General features: G+C 39.3%; 1 protein-coding gene and 1 long non-coding RNA gene across 13 annotated transcripts in view, besides 1 other annotated feature; one reads left to right on the top strand and one right to left on the bottom strand.

The window, feature by feature from the left end:
* LOC102723690 (uncharacterized) overlaps positions 1 to 6235 on the bottom strand; it is a gene marked incomplete in the record, with an annotated part of 31533 nt that extends 25298 nt beyond the window's left edge. For both annotated transcript variants that reach the window (NR_197427.1, NR_187746.1), the window contains 2 exon segments: positions 5713 to 5912; positions 6022 to 6235. This is a non-coding gene — a long non-coding RNA (uncharacterized LOC102723690).
* TXLNB (taxilin beta) overlaps positions 1 to 24746 on the top strand; it is a 164789-nt gene that overhangs the window by 46380 nt on the left and 93663 nt on the right. For 10 of the 11 annotated variants that reach the window (XR_007059217.1, XR_007059220.1, XR_007059216.1 and 7 more), the window contains 5 exons: positions 650 to 741; positions 6945 to 7115; positions 14798 to 14992; positions 17134 to 17253; positions 21933 to 22007. Coding sequence is in view for 6 of the 11 variants with exons in the window: in XM_005266836.2 (XP_005266893.1) it covers positions 650 to 741; positions 6945 to 7115; positions 14798 to 14992; positions 17134 to 17253; positions 21933 to 22007 (653 nt within the window). In the remaining 5 variants the exon portion in view is untranslated. Of the gene's footprint in view, positions 1 to 349; positions 490 to 649; positions 742 to 6944; positions 7116 to 14797; positions 14993 to 17133; positions 17254 to 21932; positions 22008 to 24746 lie in introns of those variants that run through there. The other variant, XM_011535506.3, reaches the window with a different exon arrangement.
* Positions 14164 to 15363: an enhancer, noted in NCBI's record as "P300/CBP strongly-dependent group 1 enhancer chr6:139583345-139584544 (GRCh37/hg19 assembly coordinates)". NCBI's record gives its function as "activates an origin of replication core promoter dependent on BRD2, BRD4, P300/CBP, MED14 and CDK7 cofactors, with strong dependence on P300/CBP, by STARR-seq in HCT116 cells {active_cell/tissue: HCT116}" and the evidence as "EXISTENCE:reporter gene assay evidence [ECO:0000049][PMID:35650434]".

Here is a 24746-nt window from a genome sequence, read left to right as displayed (position 1 = left end):
CCTTCTATAATGATTTTATTCTATTTGGTAGGAAACAGGATCAGAGTTATTCCCACTCCAACGCCAGGGAATGGGTTTATGTACAAAAAAGAGAAACTTGGTTCCCCCTAAAAGAGGGAAAAGAAGTACCAAAAGAACAAAAAACACAGGGGAAAAAACGGGCAGGCTACTTCATCAAGCTTCTCTGCTTCTGGCTGGAATCCCAGCAACTCCGTGTTGCTGTTTCATACTAGTCGGAAATTTTGATTGGCTGTTTTGCTTCCTTTTTGTTAATTCAAGTGGGAAAACGGGTGACGTATTCTTTCAGAAAGTATTTTTGATGTATAAAATCTTTTGATTCTGAAGAATACAGGGAGGAGAAATAAGAACGGATTCTTGTGATGAAAACTGGGAGACTTCTGTTATAGCAAACATTTATTGAGAGTCTGCCATGAACCTCACACCGTACCACACATTCACAAACTTCCCAACTAATGTTCACTCTGTAAGGTAGGTGTCATCATTTCTATAGGAAAGAAAATTACATCTGATAAGATGAATGGCTTAGCCAAGGTTGGGAATAATTAGCAAGTGGTCAATCTGAGACTCCAGCCCTTATCACCTGACTGTAAATTCAACACTTATTTTTTTCATGTCTTTTTTTTTTAAGGCAAAGAAGCCAACCTGCTAATGCAAAATCTGAACAAGTTGCAAACACCGGAAGAAAAGTTTGATTTTTTATTCAAGAAGTATGCTGAATTGGTAAGATCTTGGATTAGCTTCTTTTCTCAGAACGATTAGTGAGCCCAGTGCCTCTAGCTTCAAGGAACAACAAACACCTGCCAATCCGAGAATGAATTGTAAACAGCAACATCTGAGGTCTGTGCGCTAACCCTGCAGATTATGAGACCCACAGCTAAGATGTGGCATTCTCTCTAGTAAAGCTAGGCAGTGGCCTTCTCCTTTATTTCTGCTTCTTAAAAAATTCTTTTGAAGGAATGCCCATCAGAATCTCTATCTGATCCATTTGGTTATCTAAATCAGGGAATGAAAATAAACCATATCACCCAATCCCAGTGACATAGGTACCTCTACCTGAAATGCATTGTGACCAGAATCACTGGGTTAATTCTCGCATGTTAGCACCTCACTAGCTCCTTTTGACTGTGTTGGTGTCATGTTGAGAAAAAGGTAAAATAAATCTTACCATACACTAAAAATTCATACTAATAGTAGTGAAGTTAGATGGAACAAACAATTGAATTTATTTTTATAGAAGTTATTGAGAATAATCTTTCTTTTGTACATATACGCATTTTTAGGTATATTGACATAGTTTGGGAAACTTTATTAAAGTTAGTCAGTTGCCTGAGTTTTTAATATTGGACTTGGCATTTATATATGTGCATCAACTCTGTTGGATACCAGAATACTATAGGAGTGGATGAACTGTTCTAGCAACTTTCAGCATGTACTATATGGGGCATATTTAAGTTATTTATAAACAAGGAAATCTATTTTATGTCGTTGTTTAGAAGAATTGCATGAAATCATGTAGTTGCAAATAAAAGGTAGTTTGAGGCAAAACAAAAATTCTTTCACTTACTTCTTTTGGAGAAACAGTGACAGGAGAATGCAACTTAAGAGACTACATATAGCAAAAAATCCCTCCAGGCAGTAAGTTGAACTGCCCCCAACAGTAGATTTACCATTGCAGCTGAGGAAGCTTAAACCTCAGGACATCTCACTTGCATGGGCCCCTTTGAGGCCCGGGGCCTAATTCTCTTTAATTTTTTATTTTGAAGAGGGCCTCCAAAACTGAATAAGCTTCAGGCCCACAAACTCTTCATCCCTGTTGATGGAGCACACTTTAGTAAGTGACTTGTTTTCTTTGTTTTTCACTCTGAATCTAGTCCTGTAATCTTTCTGTTCTTCTACCTAATGTGTCCTGTTATGCTGAACTATTATGCAGTAGATCCAGAAAAATTCTGAAACTCTGCGTGACTGGCTGTTTGCTTAACCCTGCCAACAGTATTTTTAAATTATTTTTTAGACACACAAACTACTTCACGAAGATATATAATGCTGAATACACAAAATAAACAAAAAATCTCTAATCCCTCATGTAAAATACAAACTTTGTTCTATGCATATTCTTTTCCTGTTCTACTGTGTATGCAGATTTTTATTATAATTACAGTCATAAGGTACATATAAGTTGATATCTGGTTTTCTTACGTGACAGGCATTTTTCCATATAATATATAGTCTTCACAAATATATTTTGTAAAAGTTGTGTCATATTCCATTAAGTGGCTGTATCTACTGATTCAATAATTTGAATATATTTAAATTCCTCTCACTGTTTTGCTTTACCAAATATTTCTGCATTGAACATCATCACGTATTAGCTTTGTTCTTTTTCCTTCTTTTTTATGATTTTAAGAAAAATTTCCAGAAATAGGCTTACTAAATTAAACAAGATGAGTGCTTTCTGGTTTTTAAACTTTATGGCCATATTGCTTTCCAAAAGAGCAGTAGAAACTCACAAAGCAAGTATCAGTGTATCAATTTTCTTGCAACTTGTATTGCATTGGCTATTAACAATTTCAATACCATAAAAATAATTTAGGTGTCAAAAATAATATTTTCTCCCCAAATCTGGCCCCCACTCTCACGTTTCCATGCGATTCTCACCTATCCATCCTTGCTCTTTTTAGTATTTTCTGAGTCATTTTTCCTTTACCCCTTCGATTTACCAACTCATACCAAGGCCATTCATGTTTAGTTTCCAGCGCCATGTTCTATACTTGAGGGGACTGGGCAGCATTCTAGACTAATACAGGAAGTGATGTGTGGTGTTACATTCCCACGACAGTGCACTGGGGAAGCATCACTTTTCCAGACTTACCGATATTTTCTCCATGAGCCAGGGTTGTTCATCCTGGTCTCAGGGAACTCCCTGTACCTACTCATCCTCCTAGCAAAGCAGTCACCCCCAATAAACAAGAGATTGTTTTTCCAGAGACCATATTCAATTCAAGCCTTACTTGCTATATTTTGGCATTTGTATCATCTCTCGTAAAAAACTTTCGAACCTGAGAGATCACCTTAGAAAAAATGAATAGGAGAAGATTAACCCAAAAAACTTATCACATTTCCTTTTCAGAAAAGAAAAATTATGAGGAATTTCAATTTTTTACGTGGAGACTAAAGCCTATTTCCTTGCTCACTGATTTGGATATTAATATAGAAAATGACTGAAATATAAGTGTTCACATAGAATAAATCATCAAATTCAAAGCTGTGAATCAAACTGCCACTCTAGCTCACTCATCCTTGCAGAGTCTAAATCCTGTAATATTATCTGACATTGTATTCATTAATAAATAAAGATAAGCTCATTAATAAGTAAGGACATTTCATGACTAAATTAGGAAATGGCCTGGGAGAAATATTTTTCACATTTAATTTCCTCAATTCTTATGTAGTTAAGACAACATCAGTAATAGGATTTTAATTTAGTACTTAGCATTAATTTTACTTTTTAACTTAGTAAAAAAAGAGAAAGAAAACAAGAGAAATTACAGACAGAAATTCTATATGCCTATTACAGTTGTACAGAAGAACTATGCCTAAGTTAAATCACAAAGCCAGCATTTGATTGAAGCTAGGCAGTAAGAACCTAGAGGGCAGGGAATGTGTATTTTTCATTGTCTTCAATGCCAAGAATCACTTGAATATTGGCTGAATTACTTTGTTAATAATTTAAATTTTTTTAAATATAAAGGAAAGTTCTGGAGTATTATCTGGCTTAATATTAGAAACAAAATAGGCCAAGCACAGTGGCCCATGCCTGTAATCCCAGCACTCTGGGAGGCCAAGGCAGGCAGATTGCTTGAGCTCAGGAGTTCAAGACTAGCCTGGACAATATGGCAAGAACCCATCTCTACAAAAAAATTAGCTGGGCATGGTGGCACACAACTGTTGTCCCAGCTACTCAGGAGGCTGAGGCAGGAGGATGGCTGGAGCTAGGCGTTTGAGGCTTCAGTGAACTATGAATGATTGTGCCACTGCACTCCAGCCTGGATGACTGAGCAAGACGCTGTCTCTAAAAAATTAAAATTAAAAATAAAAATAAAACATTAAATGGAAAATGAGCAAGCACAAATCATTTCTCTTTCCAATTTATGAAACACCTGTAGGGTGTCTTCCTCCTGACACTCAGATAAAGCCACATAGTGCAGAGTTCCCTAAACAGGGACAGTTTTGTTCACCAGGCGACAATAGGCATGTCTGTCTGGAGATATTTTGGGGTGTCGCAATTGGGCAGTGCTACTGGCATATAGCAGGTAGGGGCTAGGGATGGTGTTGAGCAACTTACAAGGCATAGGACAGCCCCAACAACAAAAAATTATCTGGCCCAGTATGTTACTTGTGCTGGGGTTCAGAAGCCCTGACATATGGTTTAATCTTCAGAAGGTAAAGTCTACGCCAGAATGGCAATAATAATAACAATATATAAATTTCTTTTCTTTTTCTTTTTTCTTTTTTTTTGAGATGGAGTCTTGCTCTTGTCACCCAGGCTGGAGTGCAATGGCACGATCTCAACTCACTGCAACCTCCGCCTCCCAGGCTCAAGTGATTCTCCTGCCTCAGCCTCCCAAGTAGCTGGAATTACAGGCACCCGCCCCTAGGCTCAGCTAATTTTTGTATTTTTAGTAGAGATGAGGTTTCACCATGTTGGCCAGGCTGGTCTCCATCTCCTGACTTCAGGTGATCCGCCTGCCTCAGCCTCCCAGAGTGCTGGGATTACAGGCATGAGCCACCGTGCCTGGCCTACAATATATAAATTTCAAGAAAGGACAATAGTCATTTTAAATCCAAATATATGTACAAGAAATTTCACGCCTATCTAATAACTATGGTGCAAAATTAAAGGCTCACATCTATACTATGAGCAGCTTAGCATGAGAAATATTTAATAACAGATTATTTATTTTCCAAGGAGGATATCTATTTCAATCAATATTTTTAGTAATATGGGTTTTGTTTTTACAATGCTAATTTCCACTAGTAGCTAGAAATTGCACATAAGTATGAAGATAGAATATCATATATACATATCCTTAGCTTTATCTGGCAAGGGTTTAAAATGCTTATTTTAGGGTGGCAGGAGGGAGAGAGGAAAGAAATAAAATGTGAACCGAAGAAAGTGTGACAGGTGTTCATCTTGCTCAGAAAGAACAACTGCTTTTCTATTTATTTTTTATTTATTATTTTTTGAGATGGAGTCTTGCTCTGTTGCCCAGGCTGGAGCGCAGTGGCACAATCATGACTCACTGCAACCTCCATCTCCCTGGTTCAAGCAATTCTCCTGCCTCAGCCTCCCAAGTAGCTGGGATTACAGGTGCATACCACCACGCCCGGCTAATTTATGTATTTTTAGTAGAGATGGGGTTTCACCACGTTGGCCAGGATGGTCTTGATCTCCTGACCTCATGATCTGCCTGCCTCAGCATCCAAAAGTGCAGGGATTACAGGCATGAGCCACCACGCCCAGCCCCAATGGCTTTTTTAAAATGGGGAAACTGAGGCACGTGTCAGGACTCATGTGGCATCTGTATCCATTTGCATTAGGCTCTGTGAGGCACCAGAACACCTGAGGTCCAGAAGAACCAGGGCTTTTCCTTTCCGTTCACCAACAAAGTCGTTATTAGGACTAGTACTTACCTGACTTCAGCACCATCTGGGCCCTACAGAAACTGAGGCCAGTGGAGGAAATGGCTCTGGACAAAGGGCTGCTGCTTGGATGTGGCCCCAGCGATGGTCAGTCTGAGATCGACACTCCTAGAGTCCACCAATCTCTCTCTGGAGGCTTCTGAGGTTGATCCCCATACTCCCCACACCAGGTCTACAACTCCATAATAATGCTGCCAGATGTAACAAATAAAAATACAAAGTTTACGTTTCAGACAAACAACAAATAACTTTTTGGCAAAAATATGTCTCATGCAATATTTGGAATATATTAATACTTACGCTAAAAATTATTTCTTATTTATTTGAAATTTAAATTTAACTGGGTGTCCTGCATTTTACTGACAACCCTACCCTAGAACTTCAGCATCCAAGATGGAAAGTACAGCGGTAAGTTGGTTTCATGTTCCAAGGCAGTCCTGATACAGTACTTTAGTTGTGGCTGCTGGAGGAACATGAGAAGAGTTCAACTGGGCTCAGCAGAAACCAGCAGAATGATTTATTTGTTATAAGCACAGAGCGGGTGCGGGTGGGGAGCAACAAGGCGTGTTACAGATATTTGCTATTCATGCTGTTGAATCATGCAGAAGCTATTTCTGATGCTTTGGTGAAAACCCGTCAATGCTTAGGTAGTGGAAGGGTACTTTCTCTTCTCCTTTCCCACACATAAACAATCCACACTCAGAGCCCAACATTATAAAGAAGAGAACTTCATCTTCTGTTTACCAGGAGGCTGCATTTCTCTTTCCTATTTTTAAAAATAGCGCTAGAAGCTTGTTTCAAGGAAGAATTAGGAAAACTCAATGCAACCCAAGCAGACAGACTTTAGATCATTGCCTCAATGCAAGGCATCGTCATGAACTCTGGCAGTTTACAGATTCTGAGACATGCCTTTCTATTTTGTCTGGCTATTCAATATTGGTTAGATAGACTCAGGAAAAATATTTCTAGACCATCCAAAAATAGATCAAAGTAAAAAGAGACTAATAATAATGAAAAACCTATCAATGCTGTGTTCTAAAAACTATATACCTTCAAGTACTACAAAGGTGACGTTTGTGAATTTCATTTACTTCCAGAGGAAGAGATAATAGCAAAAAATGTTTCCAAACAACCACAGAGTAATCTTTAGGTTTGCTTTTTTTCTATCCACTCCAAGGAGATCCCTGCCATTTTCTTTCATGTTTGTATCTCCATGTGTACAGCTGGATGAACATCGTACTGAGCAAAAGAAGTTAAAGCTCCTCCAAAAGAAACAGGTACAAATTCAAAAAGAAAAGGACCAGTTACAAGGTGAACACAGCAGAGCTATCCTCGCTCGAAGCAAATTGGAGAGTCTGTGCCGGGAGCTGCAGAGACACAACAAGACTCTGAAGGTATGTCCCCATGCCTCAGAATAACATAATTTCTTGAATGGGGCACAGAGACAGGCCTCTGCTACTCATGGAAAGAGTGTGAATTTTAGAATCAGAGAGGCTTGGGTTCAAATACTGCCTCTGCCCCTTGCTTGCTTGTAACCTTAAATAATTTTACCTCCTTGAGCTACTTTCTTCATCCGTAAAATGGAGATTAGACCAGCTTCACTGTGTGGCTGGGAAAAAATTAGATGAAGTTGAATAGGTAAGGTACCCGCACAGTACCTGACACAGTGCAGGCCCTTGATAAAATGCATACCATTCCCCTTACCTTTCTATTATGTTGAGTTTGTTTCTAAGGTGGGCCTTAGTTCTTTTAAAAAAATACATTTGTAAAGATTCAGCATTTTTGGTGTTATAATGAATTCTGCATGACATGAGACAAATGGACACACACCGAATTGACACAGTGAAGTGAGATTGAGAACCAAAATGTCAATAGTCATCTGAAAAAAAGGAAGCTATTGGAAAAAGCACTGAAGCTCTTCAGGTTTAATTATTCAATCTAAAAATAATAGACTGATCACTTCATTTGGTCTGCACGGGTTTCATTAATTACAGCGTAAGCCCTAGCAGTGTGGTTAATTTGATTACACAGAGACACTAGCTCCATTCAATATAGCAAGATGCAGAGCTCTCCAAGATGATACTGTGTGCATCCCCAATCCCCTTTCCAGCTGAAGATCCTAAATCTTTTGACAAATAATAATTAATCAGACACCAGTGTTCCTGTAAGGTAGTTATTATTATAAGCGTTTAAAAGGAGATACTTCAAGAAACAGAGTACATGAAAATCACTGCTGAATTTGTACAATTGAGTTAGGAAGAAAAATAGAAGAGAATCATGGTTCCTCATTTTCCCAAATTGTTTTTTGATATTTGGGAAATGGAGAACCAGTGTGATGAAGTCAAAGTCTCAAATGGCAGGTTTTAGATGTGCTACTGGCGTCTTGTCAACAATAGTACTGAAGACAGACTCCCAGGCCGAATGGGGGCCTGAGGATGGAAGCATCGTCCTCAACTCAAGGTTTGGATTCAAAGGATGCATAAATCTCTTGTGTGCCTGCGTAAATCCACTGTCTGTCAGTAATGTTACACAGTAAGGAGATAAAATTAAATCAGATAGGGTGGGATCATTTATCAACAAAGAGATATAAAGAGTAGAATGATACAGCGTGGTCTTCTTGGGTAGTATTGAAAGACAGAATGTTCAGCTGGTCACAGTGGGTCACATCTGTAATCCTAGCATTTTGGAAGCCCAAGGCCGGAGGATCACTTCAGCTTGGGAATTCGAGACCAGCCTGGGCAACATTTATGAGAGCAAGACATTGTCTCTACCAAAAATCAGGAAAATTAGCTGAGTGTGGCACGTTCCTGCAGTGCCAGCTACTTGGGAGGCTGAAGCAGGAGGATCATTTGAGCCCAGAAGTTCGAGCCTGCAGTAAGTTATGATTGCGCCACTACACTCCAACCTGAGTGACAGAGAGCAATGTCTCAGAAAATAAAGAGAGAGAGAGAGAGATCTTATTAATACCATCCAACTGGCTAGAGATTCTCCCCCACCAAAAAAACAAAGACAGAATGATCAAAGTAGCAGGAGACCCTGTAAGTGTGCCCATATGCCCTCAGTAATGGCTTCTCATTATGAACAATGACATTAAGTATTATTATTATGCCAGAAGTTATGCTAAGTGCTTTATATACATTATTTCATTTAATCTTCATGATAACCCAGTGAAGGTTAATATCTCCACTTTATTGGTGAAGAAACTGACACTCAGCAATCCAAATTGGTTGTCCAAGATCAAGCATATTTAAATGTCAAAATCAATATTTGAAATTTGAATTCAAATTCAAAATATTTTCAAATTTTCTTTCTAATTTTTTCTTTGACCCAGGGATTATTTAGAAGTGTTATTTAATTTTTATAGCCGATCATACATGGTCTTATCTTGATACCATATGTACTTCAAAACAATGTTTTTCAGATGTTGGGTGTAGTGTTCTATAAGTAACAATTAGCTTTAAATCATTTATGCCTTTTTTGAATTTTTTTATCAATTGCTGAGAAATGAGAGTTAAAAATCTCTTCATATAATTGTGGAATTGTCCGCTTATTTTAATTATGTCAATTTCTGCTTTATGTACTTTGAAGCATTAATATTAGGTGTATATACATTTATGATTATTATGTCCTCTTGATGAATTGGTGATTTTACCTTTATGAAATGTCCCTTAGTAATCTTTTTTTTTTTTTTTTTTTTTGTGAGATGGAGTCTCGCTCTGTCGTCCAGGCTGGAGTGCGGTGGTGCAATCTCGGCTCACTGCAACCTCCGCCTCCCGGGTTCAAGCAATTCTCTGCCTTAGCCTCCTGAGTAGCTGAAATTACAGGCACCCGCCACCATGCCTGGCTAATTTTTGTATTTTTAGTAGAGACGGGGTTTCACCATCTTGGCCAGGTTGGCCTTGAACTCCTGAGCTTGTGATCTACCCGCCTCGGCCTCCCAAAGTGTTGGGATTACAGGTGTGAGCCACCACGCCCGACCAGTAATAATCTTTGTCTGGATGTCTACATTATCTGATATCAATTTAGCCACTCTAGTTTTCTTACTCTTATTGTTTGCCTGGTGTATCTCTTTTCATCCATTCATTTTCAGCCTGGGTCTTTATATTTAAAGTGCATTCTTTCAAGATAGCATATAGCTGGATCTTACTTCTTTTCATTCCTACAGTATCTGCCCTTTAATTGCAGTACTAGTCCATTAACATATAATGTACTTACTGATGTGGTTTGATATATGTCTACCATTTTATTATTTATTATTTGTCACCTCTGCTTTGTTTATCTTGTTCTTTTCCTGCCTTCCTTTGGATTATTTGAATATTTAAAAATTACATTTCATCTCTTGTATTTTGAAATTATAACACTACACATTATCTTTAGTAGTTGCTCTGTGATTACAATATACATTCTTAATTTTTCATAGTCTTCCTGGAGTTAATGTTGTATTACTTCACATAACATGTAGAAACACTGCAACTAAATAGATCAATTTACTCCCTCAGCCTTTAAGCTATCATCATTATATGTATTATATTTATATACTTTTGTAAAGCCGATGAGACATTGTTATAATTTTTACTTTAAACAATAATATGTATTTCTTCTTAAATTAAAGGCAAAACTATATCCCTTTTATCTACCCAGATGTTTACCATTCCTGATACTTCTTATTCATTCTGTAGCTTCACATTTCTGTCTGATGTCATTTCCCTCAGCCTGAAGTACTTCTTTTAGTATTTCTTATAGTACAAATCTGCTGGTAATCAATTCTCTTAGTTGCCTTTTATCTTTAAAACATCTTTATTTTTTTTTTAATTGAAGGCTAAATTCATTGGATATAGAATTCTGCATTGAGAGAACCTATTCGTGGGTTTTTTTTTTTTTTTTCCTTTTAGCCTTAAATAAATGTGCCACTATACTGGCTTTTAAAATTTCTCATGAAAATCAACAATCATTTGAATTATTGTTCCCCCATATGTGATATGTCCTTTTTCTCTGCCCTTTTCAAGGTCTTTGTATTGATCTTTCGTTTTCAGAACTTTTACTGCTTTAAGGCCAGGAGTGGTTTTTTTCACATGTACCCTACTTGGTATTTGCTAAGCTTTTTTGTATCTGTAATTATATGTCTTTTACCAAATTTGAATTTCTTTCAGCCATTATTTCTTCAAATAGTTTTTCTGCTCCACTTTCTCTCCATCTTCTTCCCTTCTAAGATTCTAACTCTGTGTGTGTAGACCTTTTGATATTGTCCCACAGGTCTTCGAGTCAGTCTTCACATTCTTCACCAATACTTTTTCTCTTTTATTTTTAGATTATCTTATTTTGATTGGTCTATCTTCACATTCAGTGATTCTTTTCTCTCTCATTTTCATTCTGCTCTAAATCCATCCAGTGATGGTTGTGTTTCAGATTTTGCGATTTTTAATTTCAGAATTTCCATTTGGTTCTTTTTTTGTATGTAACCTCTCACCTGAGATTTTCTACCTTCTCATTCATTGAGATAATATTTTCCTTTACATCATTGACCATAGTTATAATACCTGTTTTAAAATACTTGTCTGCTAATTCCACATTTGCAGCATTGTAGAAAAAGCCTTCTCTAATTGTCTTTTCTTTTGAGAATAGGCCATATTTTCTTGGTTCTTCATATGTCAAGCCATTGTCTATTGGATCCTGGATATTGTGACTATTATGTTCTGGAGAATCTGGATTCTACTATATGATGAATAGTTTTTATTTTTTTAAGCAGACAATTAATTTGGTTAGATTCAAACCATAAACTTTGTCTCTTGAGCAGCAGCTGAAATCTCAGTTCAGTTCTTTTCTACTTAGCTAGACTGCTTTGCACATGTGTGGCTCAAGGCCAATCAGATTTGTGTAAAGTTCATTCACAGGATCTGGGCTCTATTTCTCTGACTCTCTCTTTTTTTGGGTGATCTTCCCCTCACTGTTGAGGGACTATAGTTGTCCAGAACTCTGTATTCTTATTCTTCTAATATGAAAGATGGTATGTTTTATATGAGAATTTTGCCCACCTCATACTCCTGCCAACTGCAGATTTCCCTCAAGCTAAAAGCTATAAAGAATAGGAAACTCATGTACAAGTGCCAACTTCCCTCTAGAGTCTGTCTGATTTTGTTTACTCTCTAGTGTCATCATTGTTTCTTGCATTTCATCCAGAGTTTACAGTTGTTATTTGCAAAAGGGTCAACTTGATATGAGCTTCCTTGGCCACACTAGTGAAACACCTTAAGTGTACCTAAATCTAAAATCCATGCGCTGGGAGCTTGGGAAGATATAGAAAGACAATGTATAACTAGGTATTTCCGCCATCACAAATTTTAGCTTTTACTTTTCTTTATTAAAACCGCTTCTTTAATGAGTCAAACGCACACACACACACACAGACACACACACACACACACATACAACCTCACAATTTAGGATAACTTAAGAAAGGATTGATAAAAGTCTGAGACATGGGTTTGTTTCAACAAAATCATACATATATTCAAAGTGATAAATCTGAGCCTCAAACTATGCTGAAAAAGAACTGCCTAGTAAGAGAGGGGTAAGTGTCTCAGGGAGCATGATTTTCCTAAAGAAATGAGAAGCATTTGTTGTCAGAATATCACAGAATTTTAATGTGGAAAGGACTGTAGGAATGATCTAGTCCAAGCTACTCATATGTCTGTACATAAATTAATAATTCACTGATTCATTAAATAAACATTTACTGAATACCTTTGGATTATGTGCCAGGCACAGCACCAGTTGTAAGATGCACAATGATGCTTGCAAGGTTTTTTTGTTATCTCAGACTTCATCCCTCAATTTTATTGACATTATTTTGACTTTGAATAATGTATTTGATAAAGAAAAGATAATTTTATCTCAGACACTGTCCAAATGATTGAAAATCCTTCTAACAATGGACTCAAATTTTATAAGATTTTGCTAGATTTCTTTTGGTCTCATTGAAAAACAATATAGGCCGGGGGCAGTGGCTCAACCCCCATAATCCCAGCACTTTGGGCGGCCAAGGTGGGCAGATCATCTGAGGTCTGGAGTTTGAGACCAGCCTCGCCAACATGGTGAAACCCCGTCTCTACTAAAAATAAAAAAATTAGCTGAGCTTGGTGATGCGTGCCTGTAATCCCAGCTACTCAGGGGGCTGAGGCAGGAGAATCACTTGAACTCGGGTGTTGGAGGTTGCAGTGAGCCGAGATCATGCCACTGCACTCCAGCCTGGGCGACAGAGTGAGACTTCATCTCAAAACAAAACAAAACAAAACAAAACAAAACAAAAAATATATATATATGCAAGATTACATCTTTTGGGCCAGGATTGGCGGTTATGATTGTTTGTTTGACATTTATTTAGTGCCATCCTATCATCTGTACCTTCTTTCTATAGCCAGTTCCCAATTAAAAAAAAAACAACAACTCAGACTTGCATGGGGTGTTTCATTTATTCATTCATGGAATATTTATAAATACAAACGGTATTCAAATCATGGTCTGTAGTTCTGATTCCAAACTTGCTGACTTCTAAGCTAATCAGGACCAGTGAGGAAACAATCATAATCACACATATATTTAGTTGCTCCTAACTGGTAACCATAATTATTTTTAGCGAAACACATATAGTAAGTGTTAGTATACAAAGTTCAGGGAAATAACATCTCGGATAGTTTATTTCTTCAGTTTAAGAAGTACAGATATCTTCAATACCCCTGAGAAGTTGTTGCTTAATAAAGGTTTATAACATGAATAAATTATGATTCTGACATCAGGAGTCACATTAGAGTTGGGAAATGTGTTGTTATTATAGAGGAAAGAAGAAACCTAATGATAAAATATTTTCAGAGCATATATTCTCAGCATCAGTTTTTATTTGGATCACATTATTCTGTTATGATAAAGGTCTGTACAATTACTTCTGTTAAAAATTATTATTTCTTTTAAAAAATCCTGTTACATAATTTGAACTTGGTAGGCAATCAAATTCAGTATAATTTTACTTGCCAACAACGAAGCAAGCTTTCATATTAACAATTAATCAGAACTGAAAGGAATCCTAAAATGTCTGTATCATTTGTCAGCCACGTAAATGTCTCTATCTTTGGTAGGATGTAGCAAAATTAAACCCTTTTATTCAAAAAGAATAACAATCGCAAAGCAATTCTCAATATAGATATGGAGGAAATTGGAGCTCATTGTTAGTGGCTAGCAATGAATGGAGAGTTTTGATTTAGGAGAAAAGAGAACAGAAATGATATAAAAGTTAATTTGCAATTCTTCAATGTTAACAAAGCGGAAGAAGGAAAATTAGATGTTTCACTTTAGAGTTAAAGAAGATTTGAAACTTAATATTGCTTTCAGATTCAAAATTTACATTGAACATTTTAATTACCCTATGTGACACATTTAATGATTGTTCTTTCAAAAACAAAATAATATCCAGCATGTTTGGAAAGATTCCCTTTTATATTCTTGAATGGCTGTAATTGAGCTATGCTGTCTTAGTTTCCTTTTTTAAAGCTTTTTGATGAAAGTTTTTTCTCACAAATAGAAAATTTTTATTGTGATCACTTATATTTACAAAACTTGGTAATATAATTATGTGGTTAATATGCCATGGTTTTTACAGGGAAATATAAGATCTATTGTTCTCCCTTTACCAAACCAGAGAAACACATGATCTGTCTCATCCATCAGTAAACTCAAGTGGCCTTTTTTTCAGGCCACAGCCAAGAGATCAAAATCGTGTGACTGTGTGTTTGTTAGAAATCGCTGCAGTTCATTCACTCAGCAAGAGACGCATCATCTTTAAAACAAGTCTATTCATCACTGACTACAAATTCAAGGCCTTCACAGCACCTGTTCTGAGTAACTATGTACTCACAGCTGAAACCTTTACTCATACATTTATTTTGGGGCTGAGCAGCTTTAGCTCTAGAGAACTGAGAAAAAACATCCCACCTACTCTGCACACTTATCTCCTTTAGGTGACCTAATGCTGAGTTCTATAAACCCGGGGTGCATTTAAACAAAATGTTTTGCTTTTTATCCGCAGGAAGAGGCGCTTCAGCGGGCACGTGAGGAAGAAGAGAAAAGGAAGGAAATCACAAGCCATTTCCAGAGTACCCTCACGGACATCCAGGGCCAGATCGAGCAGCAGAGTGAGCGAAATATGAAGCTCTGTCAGGAGAACACAGAGCTTGCAGAAAAGCTGAAAAGCATCATCGATCAGTATGAGCTCAGAGAGGAGGTGAGAACCACATCAAACAACTTAGAACAGTACATAGATCCGGATCTGGGAGCTAAAGGTGGGAACTTGGTTAATAAGACAGTTACAGCCAGCCCTCTCAACTGATTAATATTTAGGATTGGATTTCCTTGACGAGCCAAAATGAAGACAGATGGTCTTACAAAATACCTGACTGAAAGTCATATGGGATTTCTTCAAAACTGGCATCACTACAAAGTAAAGGCAATAAATAGAAAGTGATAGGCTGTGGGCACAGTTTTCCTTGAAAATAATATTTCTCAGCCTTTTAAAAATCCTCTCTCTATAGCCAAAAATAACTCACGCACTCCCTCTTAAGAATTGCCATGTCATCTAAATTAAGAGTCTGTATTCTGGCCAGGCGCGGTGGCTCACGCCTGTAATCCCAGCACTTTGGGAGGCCAAGGCAGGTGGATTAAGAGGTCAGGAGTTCGAGAGCAGCCTGGCCAACATAGTGAAATCCCGTCTCTACTACAAATACAAAAAAAAATTAGCCAGGCGTGGTGGTGGGCGCCTGTAATCCCAGCTACTCGAGAGGCTGAGGCAGGAGAATCTCTTGAACCCAGGAGGTGGAGGTTGCAGTGAGCTGAGATCACGCCACTGCACTCCAGCCCAGGCGACAGTGTGAGACTCCGTCTCAAAAAAAAAAAAAAAAAAAAGAGTCTGTATTCTATGTACCCTACCAGGCCAATAATAGTATTAATAATGTAATCATTGTAATAATAATGATATCATTTATTCAGTGGTTAGTTTGTATCAGGCAATGTGCTAAGTGCTGTACTTTACATACCATATGGCATTTAATTGTCTCAACAATCTTATGCATTAGATAATAATATATTATCCATATCTTATAGATGAGAAGCAGAAGCTAAGAGATTAAACCACTTACCCACAGTCACAAGAGGCAAAAGCCTTTTACTTTGAATAGGTTATATTAGGGGGATGATCAAGGTCTTTTGTTATACCCAAATTATATTTTAATATTTAATATATTTTTAAGATTCCAGATACCCTCTCAGGATTTTGACACATCATATTCCTTTCCCTATCCCACCCAAATTTTAAATCTCTGCTTTAAAATGTAACATAACATAGTCAAAGCGGCTCTGTTGGTAACATGCTAAGATTTTATCAAGCACAAAACTGAGCCAACAGCATATGGTCGCGGTGGTTAGGTAAATCAAGAAACTCCTAATAGTAAGCCAAAATGCCATGCTACCATTTTATCTTGTCATAAGGATCAATCCCGCTCCAGAATGGAGGTTCAGACTAAAGAAGATAGGAAGGAGTGAAAGGAAAATGTCCATATTCTTCAGAGAGATCTCAGATGGGAATGGGCTGCTATGCTAGTTGTATATTCCTGGGACTGGTTCTAAGTAAAGCCCAAGGGGAGAATTCCATGTCCTGTTTCTGATTGGACCTCCCAGTGACCAGGAATTTATCCATCCTGAGGTAGAGTTGGAAGTTTCTCTTGACCAAACTAGTCCAGAGGTCAAAAGGTGTGGCGAGCTCTGCACATTTGCGACTCAATTTCTCTATGACCCTTGGCCTTGTCATCTCCACCAGAGCAACAGAGTAGAATTCAGGGGGGCTCAGGCCTCACTCCCAGACCTCGGACCACATGCTGGCACCCCAAGGCTTTCTCACAACGCCAGAGGCAAGAATGCAGAGAATTCATCATGATAAATTGCACAAGTGTTGCAATTAAAAGTGGTTTTATATTCACAGAAAGAGCCAAAATACCAAATGATACAACTGTAGCCCCTGTATATTGTATACTGATACATCATTGTCTGTGCTGTCTAGCATAATAAATAGCATCATATCTAATAGTTACCAAACGTAGAAAAATATTGTATGGATCTTTTGGCATTGACACTGCTGAACTCTGGTGCCTCTACCTTTTATAGCTAGCTTTGTGTGTGTGGTGCAAAGTCAGGGGGAGGGGTTCACCAATTTACAGCTTTATTATAAAGCTGTAAGTGATGCCAATGCATTTATCCCTCTCTTCTTTTAAATCTTAAAACCTGGGGAATGTGTATTAATGTGAATTATTTTACTTTGCATTTTTAAGCACCAATAATAAACCAAGCTTTCTATGTACACTTTATTTTTCTTAGCATCTGGACAAAATATTTAAACACAGAGAACTGCAGCAGAAGCTGGTGGATGCAAAGCTTGAGCAGGCCCAAGAAATGATGAAGGAAGCGGAGGAGCGACACAAACGAGAAAAGGAATATGTATTTATCATTTTAGTCGTTGTGCATATCTGGTCTACCTCAGTGTCAGAGACACTCTGAGCAAGTTGTTTTGTATTTATTTATTTATTTATTTATTTGAGACAGAGTCTCGTTCTGTCATTCAGGCTGAAATGCAGTGGCGTGATCTCAGCTCACTGCAACCTCAGCCTCCAGGATTCCAGCGATTCTCCTGCCTCCCCAAGTAGCTGGGATTACAGGTGCCCACTACCACAACAGGCTACTTGTTTTGTATTTTTAGTAGAGACAGGGTTTCACCATGTTGGCCAGGCTGGTCTTGAACTCCTGACCTCAGGTGATCCGCCTTCCTCGGCCTCCCAAAGTGCTGGGATTACAGGTGTGAACCATCGCGCCTGGACGCAAGTTGTTTTTATAATGGTCAAAGAGCACTAGACTGATGGAGAAAGAGCCCCAGCTTCTATGGAGAACTAAATTAGCCAGCCCAGTCTGAGGCACTATGTCTACACTACTTTCTACATAAAATAGTCATTCATCTATTCCACACATATTTTTCAAGTGCCTGTTATCTACTAAGCACCGTGTTAGGTGCGGGGACATAGCCGTGAACAAGACAGAGAAGGGGCATCTCCCACTATGGAGATTAGAGTCTAACTGGAAAGAGACAAGCAATAGACAAGCAAACAGGGAAGGGTCATTTCAGACAATAATCACCACTACTAAGGAAGTAAGGAGAAACTGAGAAGGGGCCAAAGAAGGGGACGTACTTTAGATTGAGTGACCAGGAAGGCCTCCTGGAGGGGCGAATGCTTGAGCTAAGCCCTGCCAGATGAGGAGCTGCTACTTGGAGCATCGTCTCCAGCATCTGCAGCAGCAACAAACGCCCTAATGCTGGAACCAATTTGGTGTGCTCCAGAAACAGGAAAAGGTCAGGGAAGCAAGAGCATGGGGGAGAGGTTCAAAATGAAGTTGGAGAGGTAAGCAGGTGCCAAACTGTGTAGCTTTGTAGGGCTTAAAAAGTTATTTGGATTTCATTCTAAATACAATGGGAAAGTACTGGGTGCTTCTGCAAAGGAAGTGATGGCATGATCTGCTCTGCATTTTCTAAGATTAATTTGGCTCCTGGATGGAAAATAGACTGCAGAGGGACAAGAGAGCAAGAAGACAGGAGGCTACTATAGCAATCAGATGAAATATGATGATGACTTGGTTTAGGGATATGGCAGCAGAGAAGAGGGGTGGAGATGGATGAAAGTTGTTTTCAATGTGAAATCAACAGACAGTGCTACAGACCTGAAGCTGGTGACAAAGAGAAAAGGAGAAAGTCAAGGATGACTCCTAAGTTTTGGGCTGAGGAAACTGAGTGGTGGTGTTTATTGATATCTCATTAACCCCAAGCACTCCCCAAAAAGCTGTAGGGTCATTCTACAGATGAGAGAATTGAGGCTCCAAGAAGATACGCAACTTGTTAAGGTTGCACACTGCTGACTGAGCAAGATGTGTTTTGATCTTATGTGCGTCTGTTCCCAAAGCCCACACTCTCTGTGACGGTGCATCACACTCAGACGTGTGTTTCAGAGGTATGAGTTGACGCATGTATCTGTTGCTGGGGTGAGAGAGAGGTAAAACATGGTCCATGGACCACTTATTCAAATTTGGCCATGTCACATTTTGATCTTGAGATTTTCATTTACCTAAAATCAGACCAGAATCAATTCAGTTGATTAGAATAGTAATTTTAAAATAAATTTTCAAACATGGCAACAAAAAGACAAATTTTGAGCAACATAATCTGGTGGACATTGGATAATTTCAAATCAGAAGTCCATGTTCTCTTAAGAAAAAGATTAATTTATGAAATCCATCTACAACCTAGCTCTGAAAGCAAGAAATAAAACATTCAATTATTATTCACAATCCAAGAGAATAGAAATTCCACCATTGGTGTAATTACCTTCTTGGGTAAAATATGCTTCCCATAGTATATTGGTACTTTGCTGTATAACACGAGACATGAAAGAGAAAGAACAAGACAAAGATGCACATGAGAGACATTGGAGAGCAGATTTGAGACGACCCAGCCTTAGCAAGAAACTAGCACCTGTTTTGGTTCAGCAAAACAGATTTGAGTCAAAGAGAGGGAGCTCATCTCACTTCTTCGAAGCTAGCCACCTACCTGGCTTGCAGCTGGGGCACCTCCTTTTGGAAGCGATGAGATATCAAGTCACCCAGGCAGAATAGGCAGCCACCAGCCTCCCTCGAGGTTGGGGGTCACCAATCACAACAAAGCTGCATAGCCAGCTCACAAGAAGCAGGCACAGTGCCACCACTCCCCTCAGATGGCCAGAGGGGACACTGTAGGGCTTCTACTCCACAGCTGCCCCAGTCCTCTCATAGGACCATTTGGTTGCACTTCTATGAGAATCAATCTTCATTGCACCCTGGGAGGCATAGAGGAACAAATGCAACCCATTTTACAAATGGAGAGGCTGGGTCATGGGAAAAAGACAAACTTAGATGAGGAAAAAGAAGCTTTCCAGTTTTTAAAAGTAATGATTTTATTGTTAGTTTTTTTGGTTCTGATTATATAATACATAGACCTCGTGGACTTTTTTTTACAATAGGGATAAACTAAAAGTGGGAAATTTTAATCAGCTTATCTTCAAATACAAGAGAAACTTCTTAATTGATAGCCTCCAGACTGACTAGCCAGATTGATCTCTGCGTTCACTGTTTTCTCTGTAAAACGCACTGACCGATGCCCACAGCATGCTGACTTGCAGGTCTACCCAGCCACTCTCTGGAAGGGCTACAAAATTTGCCCCAGTTTAGTAAGGTGGAGCTTACCAAGAATCAGCTCTTTGCACAAACCTTTTCTTTCCAATTGCACTTGCTTTTGTGTAAATCAACAGGATGTTACATAAACTGATGAAATATAAGTATGAAAACAAAAAACTGTTTGTGCAAATTATGCTTAGTGCTTTGAAAGACCAAATGCAAGCAAATGGCAAAAAACAACTGTCAAACTAGATATGAGTAGCTATAAAAGACTGGGGGGAAGTGGAAAACTCTAGAGAATTATCCAGACAAGCTGCTTCATAAGTATTTTTAGGTTCTAGCACTATCGCTAAACACACACACACACAAGCCTAACAACCTAGAAATCTTACATGGCACACTGTGGATGTGATTTTTAAAAATAATAATAAAAACCAAACAAAAAACCCTCTGAACTCTAATCAGAAGATCCATACCCAAAACAAAGACCACAGCCCTACCTCAAAATTGATAAATAGGCATTCATCTTAAGTTAAAATTACAAGCTTATATATGAATGTGTCATTGTATGCCCAAATCCCCTTTCCAATTTAACCCATCAGCTCTCAGGGGCCAGGATTTAGACCAATAGGTCAAACTTCTAACCCATACTTCTCAAAATGTAATCCACAGGCCACCGATATCCAGACCATTTTGGGTATTTTCTTGAAGCATAGAATTCAGTCACACTCTGTACTTCCTAAATCATATTATCTGAGAGGCATCTGCATTTTTAATATGTTCCGTAGGAGATTCTGATGCATGTTAGAAGCTCTGTGTCAGGAATCAGGGACAAAGACCAAGGACATACATAGTTCTTATTGTATCAAGTGTGCTATGGTGGAGAACAGTGGTCTAGGAGAATGATTCTGGATGTACTCTAAAGAAACAGTTGTTGGCCGGGCACGGCGGCTCACGCCTATGATCCCAGCACTTTGGGAGGCCGAGGCGGGCAGATCACGAGGTCAGGAGTTGGAGGCCAGCCTGGCCAACATGGCAAAACCCCGTCTCTAGTAAAAATACAAAAATTAGCTGGGCATGGTGGCAGGTGTCTGTAATTCCAGTTACTGAGAAGGCTGAGGCAGGAAAATTGCTTGAACCCAGGAGGCGGAGGTTGCAGGGAGCTGAGGTCACACCACTGCATTCCAGCCTGGGCGACAAAAGAGAAACTCCGTCTCAAAGAAAAAAAAGAAAAAAGAAAAGAAACAGTTGCTAACAAAAGTGCACCAAGTGGGGATGTTCTGGAGAGGTTCCAGCAGAGGCTGAATGATTGTTGGCCAAGATTACTAGAGAAGGTTCCAGAATGTGGTGGGAAGTTGAATTTTTTGTGATTCATACTTGAGCTAGAGACTATTTTTTTTATTAAAACCACTAGTTTATAGTTGAGAATCCAACTTTTTTAGACCAATTATTTTCTTAGCTTTCTTTTTCTTTATTTTTTTAGAAATGGAGTCTCACTCTATTGCCCAGGCTAGAGTGCAGCAGTGCCATCATAGCTCATTGCAACCTGGGATTCCTGGGCTCAAGTGATCCTCCTGCCTCAGCCTCTCGAGTTGCTGGGACTGCGGGCATGCACCACCACCCCTGACTAATTTTGGTTTTTTTTTTTTTTCAGTGACAAGGTCTCCCTATATAGCCCAGGCTGTTCTCAAACTCCTGGCTTCCAGCAATCCTCCCAGCTCAGCCACCCAAAGTGCTGGGATTATAGGCATGAGCCACCATGCTGGGCCTGGTTTTTTAAGCTTTCTTAGATTCTTTTCAAAGTTCCAAAAAATTACTTAAGGAGGTTAATGAGCAGGTTGCTAAGTTTTGTAGACAAATTACAGCCAAATAGTAATCTAAAAGGCAAATCTGACCATCTTTCCACACACTCTCTCTTCTCATAGTTGCTGAACCAGGCAGCAGAGTGGAAACTTCAGGCGAAAGTGCTGAAGGAGCAAGAGACAGTCCTGCAGGCTCAGGTGAGGCCAGGTGGACGAGGCATGGGGGTGCTGTCCTCACTGTCCCCAGATAAAAAGGCTGGGGCCAAAGGTGGGCAGCAGAAGTCCTCCTATGTGGCAGGGGATGGGGGGATGGGAATTGGAAATGAAGAACAACTTCACATTTATTCATATTTTCAAGTAAAAATAAAAGCACAATATTATATCTATGAAAAAGAAATGTTCTGCGCCGGCAACATCCAGTCAAAGGTTTGTTGACAGACAATGGATGACAGTACAGTGGTCAAGAGAGTCAGCCAGTGTCCAGGTTCCCATCTAGCACTTCTTATTTCCACCGTACTTCCCCTCTCATTGCCCTGTTAAGGTAAGAAGAAAACGTAAACTGCTCAGATGCACCATCTATGACTGGCGATTCTTAAGATGTCCTCATGTCTTGATATTATTTATCATAAAAAGAAAATGAGGCCGGGCGCAGTGGCTCACACCTGTAACGTCAGCACTTTGGGAGGCCCAGGCGGGCGGATCGCCTGAGGTCAGGAGTTCGAGACCAGCCTGACCAACATGGTGAAACCCCGTCTCTATTAAAAAATATATAAACATTAGCCAGGCGTGGTAGCATGTGCCTGTAATCCCAGCTACCCAGGAGGCTGAGGCAGGAGAGTCACTGGAACTCAGGAGGCGGAGGCTGCAGTGAGCCGAGATCACATCACTGCACTCCAGCCTGGGCGACAGAGTGAGACTCCATCTGTTTAGAAAGAAAAGAAAAGAAAATGAGAAAAATAGTCACCACTCAAGTTTCTATGCCATCAGAGGTTGGCCTTGTCAGTGGTGAATGGATACAAGTGTCAGGCAAGTCAGGAACCATTTTGGTTTGGCTGCGTGACAACTTTTATGTGCTTCTGTTAGACTCTGGGGGTTCCTATTTCAGACTCAAAAAAAGGGGGGACCATTCTGGACATTTATGCCACAGCTGACTCTGGAAGAAAGCCAGACCTACCCATCTTACCCCTACCTGGGGCTCTGCCTGTCCTAAATAATGGTCCCTGTGGGTTCCAGGAGTACCATCCTGCCACAGGCCACAGACTTCCACTGCCCTGGGAAACACCCAAGTGCTAAAGGGACTGTGAGGTCACAGGGAGAAATTCACCGAAGGCAAGGAAATCAGAAACCTTCCAAGCTGGGCAGCATTAATTTAAGATTTGTAAATGTTTATATGCTGACAGCTGAGTACTTGTTCACTGTAAACACACACACACACACACACACACAAATCGTGTTCATTGTAAAAGAAAAAAGCAAATAAGAAATTTAAAATCACAGATTATACTACTGCACAGACAAAAATACAGGGAACATTTTCATATCTAGCCTTCTTAAAGTATATTTCTGCAATGCATATATAGCAAAGCAATAATAAATTATTTTCTCCAGTATGAACTACTCTCTGATAATAAAGAAGAATTGTCTTAATACACTAGATACATAGAAGTTAGAACCATAATGTGTCTGAAGCAAAGGGCCCAGAGTTACAAACTCAAGATCATCCTTTAGGCAGTCACGGAACTCATCACATCATGGTGTAGGGTGGGTGGCTGACTGCTGGCTGTCTAGCAGAAGGAAAGGGGGTGTGACCTCAAGGAATCAAGCCAAGGCCTCTAATTCTATCTGTGCCTCATTCACCACACAGAGCCTTGAGGGGAACAATAAATAATACTTGAAGCTGTGCACTGTTCACATCATCTGCTACATGCAATCTCTACTCCTCCATGCAAAATGAAGACAATCAACTTGAGCAGAGTAGATTACATTGTTAAACTGTGGGCTACAGAGTGATTCACTCAGCTGGCATCAGAATCGAGGCCTTTAATGACCTGTACAATACAAATATTAAAGTTTTGATCTAATTTCCCCCTTATACCCCCTCAAACTTAAAAAACCATCAACCAGGGGTTCTAGATTTGCTATTGTTCCTCATTCATCCCTGAGTCAAGGCACCAGGTCAGAGTCCTGGCTCTTTTACCGAGAAGCTGTGTGACCCTGTGTAACCCACCTAAACCTCTATGGAACTAAATTTCCTTGTCTGCAAAATGAAAATGCTATAATGAATCAATGACCCCAGCCTGGAGTCGTGCAACCCCTGAGAGGCCTATGACTTTTCAGCGTTTCCAAAACATCAGCACATAAGGTAGCAGCTACTATCTAAAATGTAGTTGTTTCTGGTATTACTTCACCTCTTGCTCAGCAACTGTGGATGGAAATTATGCCTATGTTTAAGTTTTTAAAAGGAAAATCAGTTAATGCATATGTAATATATGTAGTTGGTTTTCAAATCATGCATCCAAAGCATTTTGCTCAGTGTCTGGCCCAAAATAAGCATAATTAATTCAACCAATATTTACTGAGCATCTACTAAGTGCTAGGCATGGTTCTAGGTTTGGCGATATAATCATCAATAAGAGAGAGAAAAATCTCTGCTTGACTATTAATTAGTGTATGAACTAGTAGTATTATTTCATAGGTAAGGATTTCATATAAGGAAATATGGAAATATGAGAAGGAAATATGAGACAACAGGAGTTTTTTGTTTGTTTTTGAGACGGTGTCTCACTCTGTTGCCCAGGCTGGAGTGCAGTGGCATGATGTCAGCTCACTGCAAGCTCCACCTCCCGGGGTTCACGCCATTCTCCTGCCTCAGCCTCCCGAGTAGCCGGGACTACAGGCACCTGCCACCACACCCGGCTAATTTTTTGTATTTTTAGT

Source organism: Homo sapiens, chromosome 6 (assembly GCF_000001405.40).
Source record: "Homo sapiens chromosome 6, GRCh38.p14 Primary Assembly".
Lineage (NCBI taxonomy): Eukaryota > Metazoa > Chordata > Mammalia > Primates > Hominidae > Homo > Homo sapiens.
Note: the sequence above shows the minus strand (reverse complement) of the source record. Positions and strands in the feature narration are given on the sequence as shown.